The sequence below is a fragment of the Homo sapiens genome, chromosome 4 (assembly GCF_000001405.40).
Source record: "Homo sapiens chromosome 4, GRCh38.p14 Primary Assembly".
NCBI lineage: Eukaryota > Metazoa > Chordata > Mammalia > Primates > Hominidae > Homo > Homo sapiens.
In genome coordinates, this window is record NC_000004.12 from 174,004,414 (window position 1) to 174,019,992 (window position 15,579).

Sequence of the window (15,579 nt, forward strand, 5' to 3'; positions counted from 1 at the left end):
TAACTCAAGGAGTTCTAATACATACAGCTAAGGGAAACTAGCAAGGAAGAACTCAGGAAAACAAAAGTATGTGTAACTTAACTATCTTAAAGTGGGTGCAAATTGTTAAAGCGTTTTGCTCTTACATTTTATTTCTTTTTCTCTATTCTAATTCACTCGGAGTAAATTCACATCTATATCATAACTATTTTTTTCTAAGTATTGATTCTGTCCTGAACTGTTTCTAAAATTGATTTCAGTGCTGCAATTTCTTTAATATTCTTTCCCGATACCCTTCCATCTTTTCAACCAAGTCTGCCTCCCACTTCAGTGCCCTTTCCTAGGACCTACAGTGGACACTACTGTACCGTGGGACCAGCACTCTTTTCCATGAATTGCCTACTCCTTCGTGGGATTGCGTTATGGGTTGTTGGTTGGGTTGTGCCAGATCCAAGGTGGAAGAAAAACAGTCCCCTTTAACCTTGAAAGTAAGAGAAAGAGTCAGCAGTCAGGCTCTCCCTGGGTATGTGGACTTGTAAAATGTTAAGCCTGAATCTTCTGGTAGCCCTTTTAATGCCATATGGACCAGTCTGTAATGAGAATGTGGAGTGGAACAGGTGCACCCAGAGGAGCAGATAGCAGAGGGAAGGGAGAGCCTCCATTGTTTTCAGCCAGGTCATCCTGGCTGCTCAGAGCCATCACAGACCTTATGTCAACGAGCTATCCAACATTCTTTCTGCCTGTCAACCCTGTTTTTGGCTACTTGGAACAAAAAGAATTGTTACTCAACACGTTGTCTTATATTTCCAATAATTATTTTTCGCTGACTGTTGAGAACACAACACAGATTCTTTAAATATTTAGTTCTGATTCCTTTAGTCAATCTTTCCTATAAGTGTGTCCTATTCCTCTCTGCCTTGAGTACTGTATTTTCCACTGTTCTACTAGAGAAATGTTTAATAATCTCCAGGGAGGTTTTTTTTCTATTTTGCTGTAATGCATTCTTGAAGAAAAATAAATCTCTCCAGTTGTGGGTGGATTCTCTTTGATTCCTTTTACTTCAGTGCTGTTTGATGTATGCATCCCGTAATCAATTATCTGAAGGCTTATAGCCCTCTTACCATGTGACTCAGCTGGCTTGTGTAGGAATCTCCTGGTCATCTTACTGTGAGTGGTAGAGCTCACTCTGGTTACTCTGAAACAGCGTCACATCTTCTCTTGCCAGAATCAGCAAATCACAAAATCCATAATCCCCACATGAGCCGCTCTCAGCTCTCCCAGGCTCAGCTGTTCCTGCAACTGAGTTCCTATCTTGGAATGTCAAGTGCCACTCCCTGTCCAGTCTACCTCCTGCATCACTGGAGATTATAGTTCTAAGGATAAAGTTCATGTCAGGGTGTGCTTGTTTGTAACACATTGCTACAGCTTATAAAAAGCACGGGTCCCTTGTATCAGAGACCACAGCTATTAAAACAAGCAGTGGCAAATATAAAGATATTTGGACAGTACAGGAGATACATAGTGTTAGGAAAGTATAGAACTTACATAAAGAAAATAAGTTGCCTCTAGAGCATTAACCTCTGGGCCCCTGAGTATTCCAAGGTTAGTTTTTTTAGAGAAATAATTTTTAAAGTGGCTGTAGATTGATCGAGGAGATTGGATAGAAGGTTATAGAGAGAACCAAGGAAAAGGTCCTTCAACCTCCTGTTCGTGATGTGGGCTTTCTCTACTGCTGTCATCCTCTCTTATCAAACTGTGTTGCCAGAACGGGCAAGGGCCACAGCCATGGAAGAGGGGCTACCAAATGGAACTCCAACCTAAGGTAAAGAAACCACATGGTCAGACAGAGAGGGACATCTCCTTGACCTCTTTCACTGCCCACTTCAATTTCCTTCCAATGCCTCTTGGGGCACAAAATGGGGCAGAAAACATCAGAGAATGAATTTGGAGAGGCAAACAGAGAAAAATCAACCGGAAGAAAAGGGAGTTTAAGTCGAGAAAATGAAAACAAAAATAAAAACATTAAGGTATTGAGGGAGGTGACAGAAAATGTTAATACATTTAAAATATTCAATAGACACTTAAAAAGTGCAGTATAATAGATTATAGATTAAGAACAAGAATTAGGGGACCAAACTTCTAACTAAACATGAAAAACATTCATCAGGTAAGATCCTGAACAAAATAACTTATTTTAGAAAGTGAAAGCAAGGAAGTCCAAACGTTAAAAATACATGATAAATTTAAAATGCAACAATAAAAATAAAAGCATTGTAAGTCAAGGCAATAATACGCAGAAAAAGTAACAAAATTATGAATATTAGAATTAATTTTATCATTTTTATGCTTTATGTGTTTTCAGATTTTTAAAATAAATATGCCTTATTTTCATGACCTAAAAGCAAAATTTTAAAGGAACACACATAAACACAGCCCAGTTAGCCAGTTAATAATCAGAGACACACACTAACTAAAATGTAAATTATTCTTTCCTCAAGATTTTCTAGGCTTTCCTGCTATTATATATTATTAATAGAAAACAATGTATTCAAACACTTTTAATTCAACTCCTTGCTAGGCTGATTTTCAAAATATTCTTATAAAGTTAATTTTTATATATGTTTTGAAAAGCTGTTATTTTCAATACTATTTATTATGTAGATTATTATATTTTTTCAAAAGATCTGTACAATAAATTCTTCTTAAAGTTCAGTACTAATTAAAAGTACATATTTTTATTTGTCTGCCATGCTATAATTGGAAAAAAAATGAGGTAACAGCCTAGTCTCATTTTTTGCCTTGGCTCCAAAGAAATTAGATCTAATAAAAATAATAATCATAAAGCTGGAATGCTTGTTATATGCAGTTATTAAACAAAGCATTTTCTATAAATTATTTTACTTTATATTCATGACAATTCTGTAAAGTAGGGTCTTGGCGTTGTATTAAGTAATTTGCCTAAAACCACATCAATAGTTAATGAGAAAATCAAATTTTTCTTCTGTGCTGTGCTTACTCTTTCTTGGCTACATTGAAAACTCAACCACAATAGTTTCTCTTTCTCAAGCTTTCTGCCATATTTTTAAAAATATATTATTCTCCTCTCGAGTAGAGAAGAATCAAGTAGCCTCTTTGTTGTTGTTGTTGTTCTTGTTGTCTTTCCTATCTTGTATCATATCCATTTCAAATCATATGGTGAAGGAAACAGTACGTTTGATATTCAGACCTCTAATGGGGATATTCCAACATTCCAAAACATATAAGAACGTTATTGTATTACGTTCCGAAGGCAACCAATTGTGTGACACAAGCATAAAAAAGAAAAGGAGGGATATGATAGAGATCGAGCATGACCTCGCTTCAGCACGGGTGAGGAAATTGAGGCAGCAGTACCTGCAACAGTGTTTCCCAGCCTCACACTTGCCCTGCCTCCCACTGCCCAGGGATTCTTATGTTTCTCTCACAACCCCCTCATCTCTACTCTCCCACTCTGCCATGGGAGACATGTCTATATTGAGAACCACTGCATTTTGTATATTTACACCCAAAACAATTTTTTCAAGTTTTACTTTCTATAGTTTACATTATGGGAAAAAAGATTTTTCTTCCTTCTGATATAATCAGCATTGATTCAATATTTTTAGAAAAAGCGCCAGCCCCAAAGGGTACTCCTAAGGTACAGAAAAGTTCTCTCAGATGCCTGTATTTTCTCTTCCCAGCCCTTCCCTGGATCATCACAGCCACCATCACTAAGCTGACAATCATGGTCCTAGAAAATATCATAAAGACCATGTAGACCACAAAGTGGTTTGTCTCTTTAAGACAGGGGGAAGAGATTGCTTCTTGACTCTTACATTTTCTCCTTTGTTTAATAAGGTTATGTAACCTCCAAATGTATGTCTTAATCGCATGTTCCAAATTTTCTTTTTTTAAGGGAAAGAAACTCAATTCTTTTTTTTAACTTTTAATTCAGGGGTACATGTGAAGGTTTGTTACATAGGTAAACTTGTGTCACGGGGGTTTGTTATAGAGACTATTTCATCATCCAGGTTTTAAGCCTAGTACTCAGTTGTTATTTTTTCTAATCCTCTCTCTTGTCCCACCTGCCACCCTCCAGTAGGCCCCAGTGTGTGTTGTTACCTTGTATACGTCAATGTGTTCTCATCCTTTAGCTCCCGCTCATAAGTGAAAACATGTGGTATTTGGGGTTTTGTTAATGCATTAGTTTTCTAAGCATAATGGCCTCCAGCTCCTTCCATATCCCTGCAAAAGACATGATCTCATTCTTTTTTTAATGACTGCATAATATTCCATGTGTATATGTCCCACATTTCCTTTATCCAGTCTCTCACCATTGGGAATTTAGATTGATTCCATGTCTTTGGTATTGTGAATAGTGTTGCAGTGAACATACACATGTATGTGTCTTTATAATAGAATGATTTCTATTTCTTTGGGTATACACTCTGCAACAGGACTGCTGGGTCGAATTGTATTTTTTTCTTTAGGTCTCTGAGAAAAAGCCACACTGTCTTCTAGAATAGTTGAACTAATTTACACTCCCACCAATAGTGTATAAGCATTCCTTTTTCCTTACAACCTCACCAGCATCTGTTATTTTTTGACCTTTTCATAATAGCCATTCTGACCAGTGTGAGGCAGTATCTCATTGTCGTTTTGATTTGCATTTCTCTAATAATCAGTGATGTTAAGTTCTTTTTCATATCATTGTTGGACAACATGCTCTGAATTTTCAAGGATTAAATTACCACGTGGAAACTCCACCTGGTCATCTTACCTTTGGTTAGGTCATCCCAGGTTCAAGAAAATCCACTCTCTGGTTAAGATGGACATTGCAAAGAGAGAAGGAAAACTCTGCCTGTACCAGACTTCCTGGTCATTGCCATCTTCACCACAGCACCCAGGAGAATTCAAAGTCAGTAACTTTTTGAGTATGGAGGCAAAGGCTACTTTCACTGCCCTTTGCTTCTGCTCATGACATTTTACATTAGGATAAAATCCAGAATCAAACAGAATATAATAGGGAGCTGAAAACTGAATATGGATAAATAAAGTAAGCCCTGAAAAAATAGGAGTTGTTAATGGTCCATAATTGGTCTTTGTAACTTTATAGAACAGATGTAATTCCAAAAAAGATCTTAAGAAATCATAGCCAGAGGGTGGCATATAATATATAACTGTCATATTCTGATCTGAAGGAGAGTTCTGGGGAGAAATAACTAAATTAGCAGCATGTAAAACAAATGTGTTTATTGTTATCTATTATTTATGGCCCTCTGGATAGCTGATAGTTCATTTGACTATACTTCTGCCTAAACCAATTTAAATTAATTTAGCTGGTAAATTGAATAATGCTATATCAACTGCTTTTCTGCAATCAAGATATATTGCATATACTCAACTCTCTTAATCAACTAAGCATATTTTCCAATGTTGATGGATAATTGCCTTTAAGTGCATCTTGCCCTTCTGCTTTTAGGTCTGGTTGATAGGACCATTACTGGAAGTGATAGGTTCCCAGAACCATTTTGAGAATGCAATTTGGCTTAACTCTCCCATCAGTGGTTATCAGTATAATCTGAGGGCTGTGAAGGCTATTAGCTTTCTCTAATGGTCTTTGCATCCCTTAAATAATGACAAAAAGGGCTCATCAGACAAGACGAAAACAAACCTCAACTTTCAACTCCCTAATATTTTGTTCACTTCACTATAAATGTTCACTATAGTTCATAAAGCACATAATCCCAAAGGGAAAGAACTCATCTGTAAAGATTTGTGTGCCAAATCAATGAATGCAGAGACTGCAGCATAATATGATCTGTAATTTCCAAAAATAAGTTTGTAACTGGAGTAACTGTGTCTGTTTCCACTTATAATTTGCTTGAACATTTGTATTACGGCATATCAGGAAGCTATAAAGAAACAGTGTTGGTAAAAGTCTGGCCTTATAGACCTGTGTCAACAACTAAGCTGAAAAACGTTTTTATAATGCATGAAATTCCAGGTCTCCTTCACCAATGTGACAGATTCAGAATTAGGAATTGTTTGCACTTCCTGTTTCTTTTTAAGCAGTTTACTATATATCGTGCCTGACTTTAAAATCTTAGTTTGTATATACCCCTATCCAGGTCAGGAAATCTTTTCTTTAATTTTTTATTACTGATTGCTTATGCCTTTAATGTTTGATGTTAGAGCTTGAATGTTTCAAATTATGGTGTAATTTTGTGAACTTAGCTTAGAGGTCTGCTGCACCTTTTCTCAGAAGGTTTCTGAAAACTAAGCTGATCATGATTATTGATGACTATAGTGATAGATATGCAGATGATTATCCCCCATGGGAGGACGTCCTCTAGAAGGGTTTTCCAGATGTGATTGCGGGTAACCGGGGATCCACCTTTTTTTGCTGGGTCCCATTGTGATTAGCAAACCCAAATGTTGATGTGGCATTTAGTACAGGCAGTGTCATTCTAGATAAGAGAGGAAGGCTGCCTTTTTTAGACCACAGAGAAAACCAAATATTTCTTTAAAAATTATAATTCTTTTCTGTTGAAAAATAAAGGAGACTCACTAAACCTCAGGGACTGATTAAGCCTTATGATACCTCAAACCTCTAATGCCAAGTGAAAAACAATTTTAAAATACTATGCTTCTGTTTGTTATATCTTACCAGATGAGACTGTTGATATATGAATATATTGCTTTATCTTGAGTTGATATACATTTCTAGTATATTTATAAGAGAAATACATTCATAATAGAAATATATTTCTGTGCATTGGGGCCAAAATCAAAATGAGATCATATATGGGAAAGCAGTTTATGCTTTGCAATAAATTTAAAAATATAGGATTTATTACATATAGATTTAGGTAAGCCTAAGAAGCAAGATGTTCCTTCAGCACTATCACATTGAATTATCCAATTGAAAGTGTGTTATCTGATTCTTCACCGATGTTTCAAAGCAATCGTTTGCTCATCGTATAATTTCCCAGCCCAAATCCTTCCATACATGAAAAACTGTAAATCAGAAAAAATATTTACCAAAGGAACCAAAATGACTGCCTCAAATCTTCTCTGGTTTTCAGGTACATGTGTTAAGCAATATTTCAAAAGACATAAATATGTATAACTGCTTTATGAAAATTCATGTGGGTTATTTTCAGATATTAGATAATTCTATATCATTACATATAGACCGAAAGACCGACAGACACACACACACACACATATACGCATATATATACATACATAAAAGATAAAATCAGGCACAGGAACAGTGGCCAGCTTTTTGTATTTTGTTTAAGAAACAAAGATGTTTTGCATTAACTTTTCAAAAAGTGTTTTGACTCAAAACCATACTTTAAAAAACATAAAATATAAATAAATTCAACTTTATGGTCTTTCAGAGGGAGAGTATGCTATTATTCCTTGCATCATTTTACCACAGATTTTTCGACACTGCTACATTCAAAGTGAATATTTAATAAATGTTTCCATTGAATGGTTGGCTGAAAAATATTTTAAATACATTTCAAAAAGAGAGTTCTATGCATGCCTTGGAGGTGTTCAGTTACTGCTAATGATAATAAAGAATACATATTTACAGCATACATAACACTGGTCCAGAAGGAGTTTAACAAAAGGTTAAGTCAAGCTGTAAAACCCCCCAGTAAACATCCAACTATCTATAACCTGATCAGATTGGAACAATGGAGAATCACCTTCTCTTTTCCCAGAAAGACTTAGCTTATAAAGTGATGTTTGCTTATCTAGGTCACCCTTGTTTATTTCAAACCAGTGTTCAGAGTCATTTACTCTTCTCTGCTACTTCCAGGCTGTGCACAGTGTGTGATAATGACAAATCAGTTACAGCAGGGTTTGAAGTAACAAGGCACTTTTGTCAAGTAGAGCTTATGAGTTTGGAATGTTCCAAATACTGAGCCATGATATTAATCCAGTAAATGCTCGAGTTAGACTCAAGTCAGCAGATTTTTATAAAGTGACTCCTATGTACTTAGCATTTTGATAAGGATTCCTGAGGAGTTTTTATCTCTGGGGATTTACTCTCATTAGGGAGGACAGATTTATGTATTTTTTAAAACACAACAACTAGAAAACAAAACAATTATATGACCCAGTAATAAAATGTATGCTGCAGATTATAAATGTTTGAGGAATAAGGAAATTAGTGTGAGTAGACATGTTCATATTTGGGTTTATGAAGAGAGTAGGTCTTAGAAAATGAGCAGGACATGGTTGGTAGGAAGGACGGCAGAGACTTGAGAGGGATATGGCTCACACACATGCATAAATATTGGAGCACACATATCTGAGTCACTCCTGCAGAGTAATAAAAATGAGGACTCTGGCGTCAGCTTTCCTGGGTTCAAACCCTGCCCCCGCATCACAGAAACTGGCTTTATCTAAATTTTCTCAAGTGCATAATGGGAGAAATAGTAGTACCTAGTGCTGCTGTGAGGTTTTAATAAATTAATGTGTGTAAAGCATATATGCTAATATATGTAAAGTTGTTACATGTAAAACACTCAAAATTGTGTCTGGGACAAGTAAGTGCTATATAAGTACTTACTCAACTGTTAACTAGAAAAGGTATTTGGGAGTCAATATGGATGTGGCCTAACTGGGTCAAGAATATGTGCATGTAATGGGAATATAAGGCAGATTAGTATCTTGTATTCCATATTTGCACTTTAAATAAATGGCAAAGCCTGTGTAGAACACTAGGTTCCTGCCTCCCAGGACATTACTCTTTCTATGATATCATACTGTTTTCCTATGTTTCCAATTTTCTCATCTTTAAATTGAGGATACTATAAACCTCATAAATTTTTTGTTAGGATTAAATGAGTTAAGACATGTCAGTTGCTTAAAACAGTGCCTAACATATTGTTAACATGCAGTAAATGTTAAGAAAAAGAAGATAGCAATTATGAGTTGTATTTCTTAGCTTTTGCTGCGTAATAAACCACCCCCTATTCATGATTCTACAAACTGGAAGTATGTGCTTGGCTCAGTTCTCATCTGGGCCAGCAAAGCTGAATTCATTTGAGCTCACTCATGGTCTACAGTCAAGTGGTGGGTTGGGTGAGTAGGGATTGATGCTTTATGAAATGGTCTCCAATGGAGAGAGCTGTGATGACTGGAACCAACTAGCCCAGACTTATTCACAAAGTAGAGCGTTCCAAGAAGTCTCAAATCTCTGTCTCCTGTTTACAATTGCTCCACTGGACAAACAAGTCACACCGTCATGCCGAGAGTCAGTGTAGAGGTGAATGACACAAAGACTTGAATATAAGAAGGAGAGAACAAATTTGAGATCTTTACTGCAGCACTCTATAATTACATATAATAGTATATTAAATTCAAGAAGCAAACCTTCCAGTTAAAGGTGGTGATTTAACTAAATGTGTAAACCTGCTTCTTCCTCCTGAAATCCCACTAAAATGTCAATAAAAAATAAATAAGTAACCCTACAGGGATAAAGAGATGGGGAAAAGAAAATATCTGAAGAAATATTTCAACAATGTTTTTGTTAATTGATTTGACAAATCAGAGGAAGTTATTCATCAAAATACTTTATCAATGAGAAGTAATGTAAATTAAGCCACTCGACCTCCCTGAGAAGCCCTAGATTTGGAGGTTTCAAGTACTGAGAAGGTTGAGGGGTAAAAGGAAGTCCTGAGAACTGGGAGATTGGTTTGATGCACATGCAGAGAGCAATCAGACCTCAGCTTACCTCCTCCACCCATGCAGATAAGAACTACCTGCTCTGAGGCAGGAAATAGGAGATCTTTTGTCTGGAAAAATGAAGTGGAAGATTTTAGGATTTGGAAACAACAGGTAGTATGGGTTGGAGGTAAAGCCTGGGATTAGATGAAAGTCTACTTATTGAAAAGGAAGGAGATAGTTGGGTTATTTAAAGATGCTGCTTGGCTCCAGAAGGAAAATGTATTGACATTTAAGGATGCAGGGGTTTTTAGTTGTTCTTCAGCCAAACAGAATTCCCCATCAGTTCTTCATTGATGAATTTTAAGAACCCAGAATAATGCCTGAGTGGTAGGCATTCAGTATGTTTCGAATATTGCTTAAATGAGTTTTAATACTTCATTTTTAGACATAGGTCAGGATTAGCAGATATTTGAGGAAAGTCTCTAACATGAAAGAGAAAGACTGAAAGAAATAAACATCAAACATGAAAAAAATCCAAAGGAAATGGAGCTCTAATGGGAGGGGGAGAAGAAAGCATTGTAAATGTATACCAAAACCCTCAGAGAGTTTAAGAAAAAAGATAGATGGCTCATAAATTAGACCTGAATGCTATTATTTTAAAAGAACAAAAATTAAAAATTTTGCTATTAAAAAGTCAAAGTTAAAATTCAATGGAAGTTTAAACAATAATCTTAAGAAAATCTCCTCAAAAGAAGAACAAAATATAAAGAGAAGAAAATAGAAGATAAAAGATGAGAGATTTAGAGTGTCAAAACTAGTAGTCCAACATATAACAAACAAGAGAGTTCCAGAAAGAGAAAATGGAGGTTCAAATACAATCATAAGAACATCTCCCAAAACTGGAAAAAACCCAGTCTCCACGTTGAAAGACCTACCTAGTGTTTTGTTCAAGGAGTAAAGACTCACAGTAAGACACATTATTGTGAAATTTAGCAATATTGAGGAAAAAGAGAAAAATAACAGCTTTCACAGAAAAAAATCAGGTATTTATAAAGAAATGAAAAGCAAATTAACATTAGACCTTTTTATTTTTAACCAGAAATACTATCTGCTGTTAGTCAGTTGAGAAATTCCTTTAATAATTCTGAAGAAAATCTATTTTCAAAGTAATAACAATCAAATTGTCAATCAGTTTGGAAGATCAAAAATCTCACCTCCTATGCATTTTTTCTAAGATTCTTCTCCAACTAAATGAAAGAGTAATGAAGAAAAAGGAAGACTTGATGTTCAAACAGAAGAGAATTCAGTTTGGGAGGGCAGCTGTTCAGCAGCCTAGAAAGCTGCAAGTGACTCCAGAAGAACCCTTTCCAGGAAAAGTAGGGAAGTGGTAGATTCACTGATGTGATAGGGCTTTGGGGAAAATAAAACTTGTAGCTATGTGGAGAATTAATGGAGCATTTGGGAGCAAAAACTAAGGAAAAGAACATAAGAAACAATACAAATGGAAAATTGGGTTTTATTGATTCAAGAAAAAACAAAAAGTTATACTTAAAAAAGGAAATATAATACACTGCCACTCCGAGGAACAATATTTAATGATCACACTAGTGGAAATGCTGATTACTGATTCAACAACAACAAAAATGTGATCTCTTAAATTAGGAGAAAGGATGGGACAAGAAAGTGGGAAGTGGAAAACAGTTAAATCTTCATCTACCATAGCAGAATGTCAAATGATGATATTGAAAATATGTTTTTTTAAAAAACAGAAACATATTATTTAGAAATGGAAAGATAAGTGCCAGAAAAATCAGCTTAAAGCAATGTTTAAGTAGTTACCTTTGGAGGATAGGACTACAGGTAAGGAGGAAAGTAGAGGAGATATCAGTTTTTCAATGTAAAATTTATTTTTTAAACTATGTGCTTGCATGACTTTGATAAATATGAAATAAAATAGGAGGAGACTTGAACATAGATTTGTCTTATTGTTAATCATATTTCAAAAAATAGGGCTGGGACCAGGATCTACCCATCCCCATCAAGCGAGGATTGATACTAACTACAGCCACTCCTGCGGGGGCCCAGGGTTGGTTTGCAGTTGTTATTGTTGTTTTGTGAATGCCTGTCTGTGTGTATGCAACTACCCTTAGTCACTAGCCAAGGCTTTACCCACACTGGCTGCTGATCACTCGCCTTGGCATTGATTGGCCTAGAGCATGCATGGACCCTAGAACCTCTCTTTCCCACTAGCCCAGGCTTTTCATCGGCTTCATTTTTGTCTCCCTCTTGGCCTTCTTAGTAGGCACCTAGCACAGCACTCTCCTGGCTCTGTTTTTCAGTCACAGCATGAGCAGAAAAAAGAGAAGAAGGTAATGAAAGTGAGAGAAAATACTCTCATTTAGCATTATTTCTAATCTCTACTTCTATTTTTCTATTTAAAGCAAGTCATGGCTGCCCAACTGATATTTCTAAAAGTCCACTTTGTGTTTGACTCCAATCAGGCCTCATTATCCTAGGGGAAGAGGAGATGGAGGTGAGAGGAAGAGGATGGATGAATGTGGAAGGCCTTCTGCAGCTTAGCATGCAATGGTCATTTCCTGTATGCAAGGTCTTCTGCTATGTTCTGTGCAGGAAATCAAGAATGAGAAACAATTTTGGCCCTAGAGGCCTTACAAATATATCTTCCTAATTACAAGGTTATAGTCCTTTGGGAATTGCAAGTTCCCTTGAAAATTCACACAATCCTAACATGTGTTGTGCCTAGTTTGATGTGTTCTTAAACTATTACTAGCTAACACTTCTTACTGCAGAATTTCTGTGGAAATGAGACATAGGTATTTCTACAGGATAAATGAGACGAGTGAAAAGAGGTGTTGAAAAGGAAAACGAAAGGATGAAACAGATACAATTCCTACTTCGCTGTTTTTCAAAGTGCTTATAGTGAGTGCTCTCCGTTTCTCACCCGAAGGGGAGAAACTTCCTTGGCCTTTTTCTTCAAGTAAATAGATTAAATCTCTCTTATTGCTATTGCTATTTGACCTTTTTCATGAAGCATAGCAAAGAGTTTTTCATAATCCTAATATATACTTATGGTTTGTGACTAATGAAAAGAATTATTTCCATCCTCTAAATTAATAGGCTTGCCTCCCTGCCCAGTAAGTTGTTCCTTCCTATACAGCATTCAGTAAAATATTTGCTGAGTAACTAAAATGTCCAAGACACCTATTTCAGCAATATATGAACTAGAAACAAAACAATAACTACAAACATGACTTATCTCTTCAAGGAAAGGAGTCAATATTCTTGTACGGAAAAAGGATCGTAGAAAAATACCTAATAGCATAGTGTGACAGAAATTGCGTGGAAATTACTACAAGGCAGCAAGTGAGATAGACCCTAAGCTGAGCAGACAATAAGGGTATGGCAATCCTAAATCTACATGGTGTGGTGATTAAGTCCTGCGTCCATGGAGTCAGAAAGAGCTGGGTCCTGACTCTACTTATTAACTGTGCAACCTTGAATAAGTCACTTATACCATGAGCTCCAAGTATCTCATCCTTAAAATAGATACATTTCAGCACCTTATTGAATTTCTTCAGGCTAGGCTCTAGGGATACAACGGTGATCATGACAGTTATGGTCTCAGGCCTTATTCAATAAACAGCAAAGAATCCAAATTGGGATAAGTATTCTGAAAGGGAGATATGGGAATGAAAACGAAAAGTAAACCAAAAAGTAAAACCTTTCTGAGACCAGTGATTTTGACAGACACTGGATTATAGAGGACCTGATAAACGACAATAAGGATTTTAAACTTTAACCTAAGCAGGAGAAGAATTGATTGAAGGGGTTTAAATACACTTCCTTTACAGAAGTCTTGCGACTGTTACATGAGAAATTGGTATGTAACATTTTTAGTGCCTTCCTGATAAAGCCTTTGCACTTCTAACTACTGCGTGAGTTACTCTACAGGGAATATAGCTAAACCCGGGTTATTTGGACACCACAAATTCCTTTCTTAACATTTTTGTTTAACATCTTTGTTCAATATTAATTTAGGGAGAAAGTAAAGAAACTAATTTTATATTACTAAAATCATATACTTCTTTAAATTGCAAAGAAGGGCTGTATCCCTTACATTGATCATAACATTCTAATTTACTTGGAATAGTCTGTTCATTATTTTCTTTATTCATAATTGGATATTGTCAGAGCTAAAACTATACCTAGAGGTAAATCATGTAACTATGACACAAAACATTGTTTTTTGTTTGTTTTGGAGACAGTCTCACTCTGTTACCCAGGCTTGAGTGCAGTGGCGCAATCGTGGCTCACTGGAAACTTCGCCTTCTGAGTTCAAGCGCCTTCTGCCTCAGCCTCCTGAGTAGCTGAGATTGCAAGGATGCACCATGATGCCCGGATAACTTTTTGTATTTTTAGTAGAGACGAGGTTTCATCATGTTGGCCAGGCTGCTCTCGAACTCTTGACCTCAAGTGATCCACCTGCCTTGGCCTTCCAAAGTACTGGGATTATAGGCATGAGCCACCATGCCCCGCTGCAAAGCATTGTTTTAAATAAGATGTTTTTCTCACTTTGTATTAGCAAAACGTTTTCTACCTTTTTATGATTTTTTTCACTTTCATTTGTGATCTCCTACACTAACTTTCTTGAGTGGTATATAGTTGGGAGATATTAAATATAGATTTTTAAAATTACCTTTTTTTTCAGGTAAAAAAGCGCTATTCTATGTGTTACGTATTTTCCTAATTTCAACGTCCTGTGACTGCCCACTTCAGGCAGTTGTCAGATCTCAGGGTTGATGAGAGCCCTGCAGTTGCGTTGGGGAAATTGTGTATCAGAAAATGCTCCTTGCTAGAGATTGGGGCCAGTGAAAATAGCCCATCTTTCTTTCTTCCTTCCTTCTCTCCTTTGTTCCTCTGTCATTTCTTTTTTTTTTTTCTTTTCTTTTTTGAATCAAGGGCCCATTCTTCAGGAGAAGTGGTACTAATTCACATCTCACTCATAGAAGGAGTTACATGTGAAAACCTGAGGTATCTAGTAGTATATTTCTGATTCCCTCTATGGATGCTTAAAATGCCTTATAGCTGTGTTTCCCAGACAGGTGCCTGAACGACCCACCCCTGGATTTAACTCTGATGGGAATACATGTGAAACATTACTTTAAAACATATATGCAATTTTTAAGAAACATGTAAGACACCTCCTCACTCCTACTCACCCTTGAAATAGTACCCATTCTTCTCTGATAAAAGGGACACCTTAGTAGAAAAGTTTTACAAGTTCTGATGATACCAGTACTTAATAAATGGCCATATTATTATTATTATTATAAGGAAAGACAAAGAGGAGATTGAGAGGCTTTGAAGCTTCAGAAGGAGATTGAACTACACTTTGTAGGCGGGTAGGACAGATGAATGGAGAAGAGAGACAGAGTTCTAGACAGAGGACATGGTGAGAAAATGTATGGCATCAGTCTGCTCATAGTGAGTTGAAGGGATCTGGATAGGACAGGTGGGGTAGAGCAGGTAGAAAATAGCTTTGTGATTCAGAGAGAAAAAATTATGCTACAGTGTGACAATGTAAACTCTAGGGTTAAAAAAGAGAGAGAACATCTTTGATTCAACAACTTTCTTCACTTTCCGAGGCACAAAATAAGTTTCAACGATTATGAGTATGAAAAAGTAGCCTCAGAGATATAATCAAATCCAATAAATAATATATAAATGAATATAATAAATACATTTTCCCTCACAGACTCTGATAAAGAAAGCAGTTAATAAATACAGATGTGTGCTGCTACTGCGTACTGAGAAAGCTTCCATCCAACCAGAGAAAACAAATCTGAAGTTAGGTCCCCTTCAGTGAAA

General features: G+C 36.3%; 1 long non-coding RNA gene across 1 annotated transcript; it reads left to right on the forward strand.

Moving 5' to 3' along the window:
- The first annotated feature begins 1,435 nt into the window (after positions 1–1,435).
- Positions 1,436–12,597, forward strand: LOC105377546 (uncharacterized). The gene is made up of 3 exons (XR_939486.3): positions 1,436–1,801; positions 11,701–11,776; positions 12,192–12,597. It is a non-coding gene; the product is annotated as an uncharacterized LOC105377546 (long non-coding RNA).
- The last annotated feature ends 2,982 nt before the right edge of the window (positions 12,598–15,579 follow it).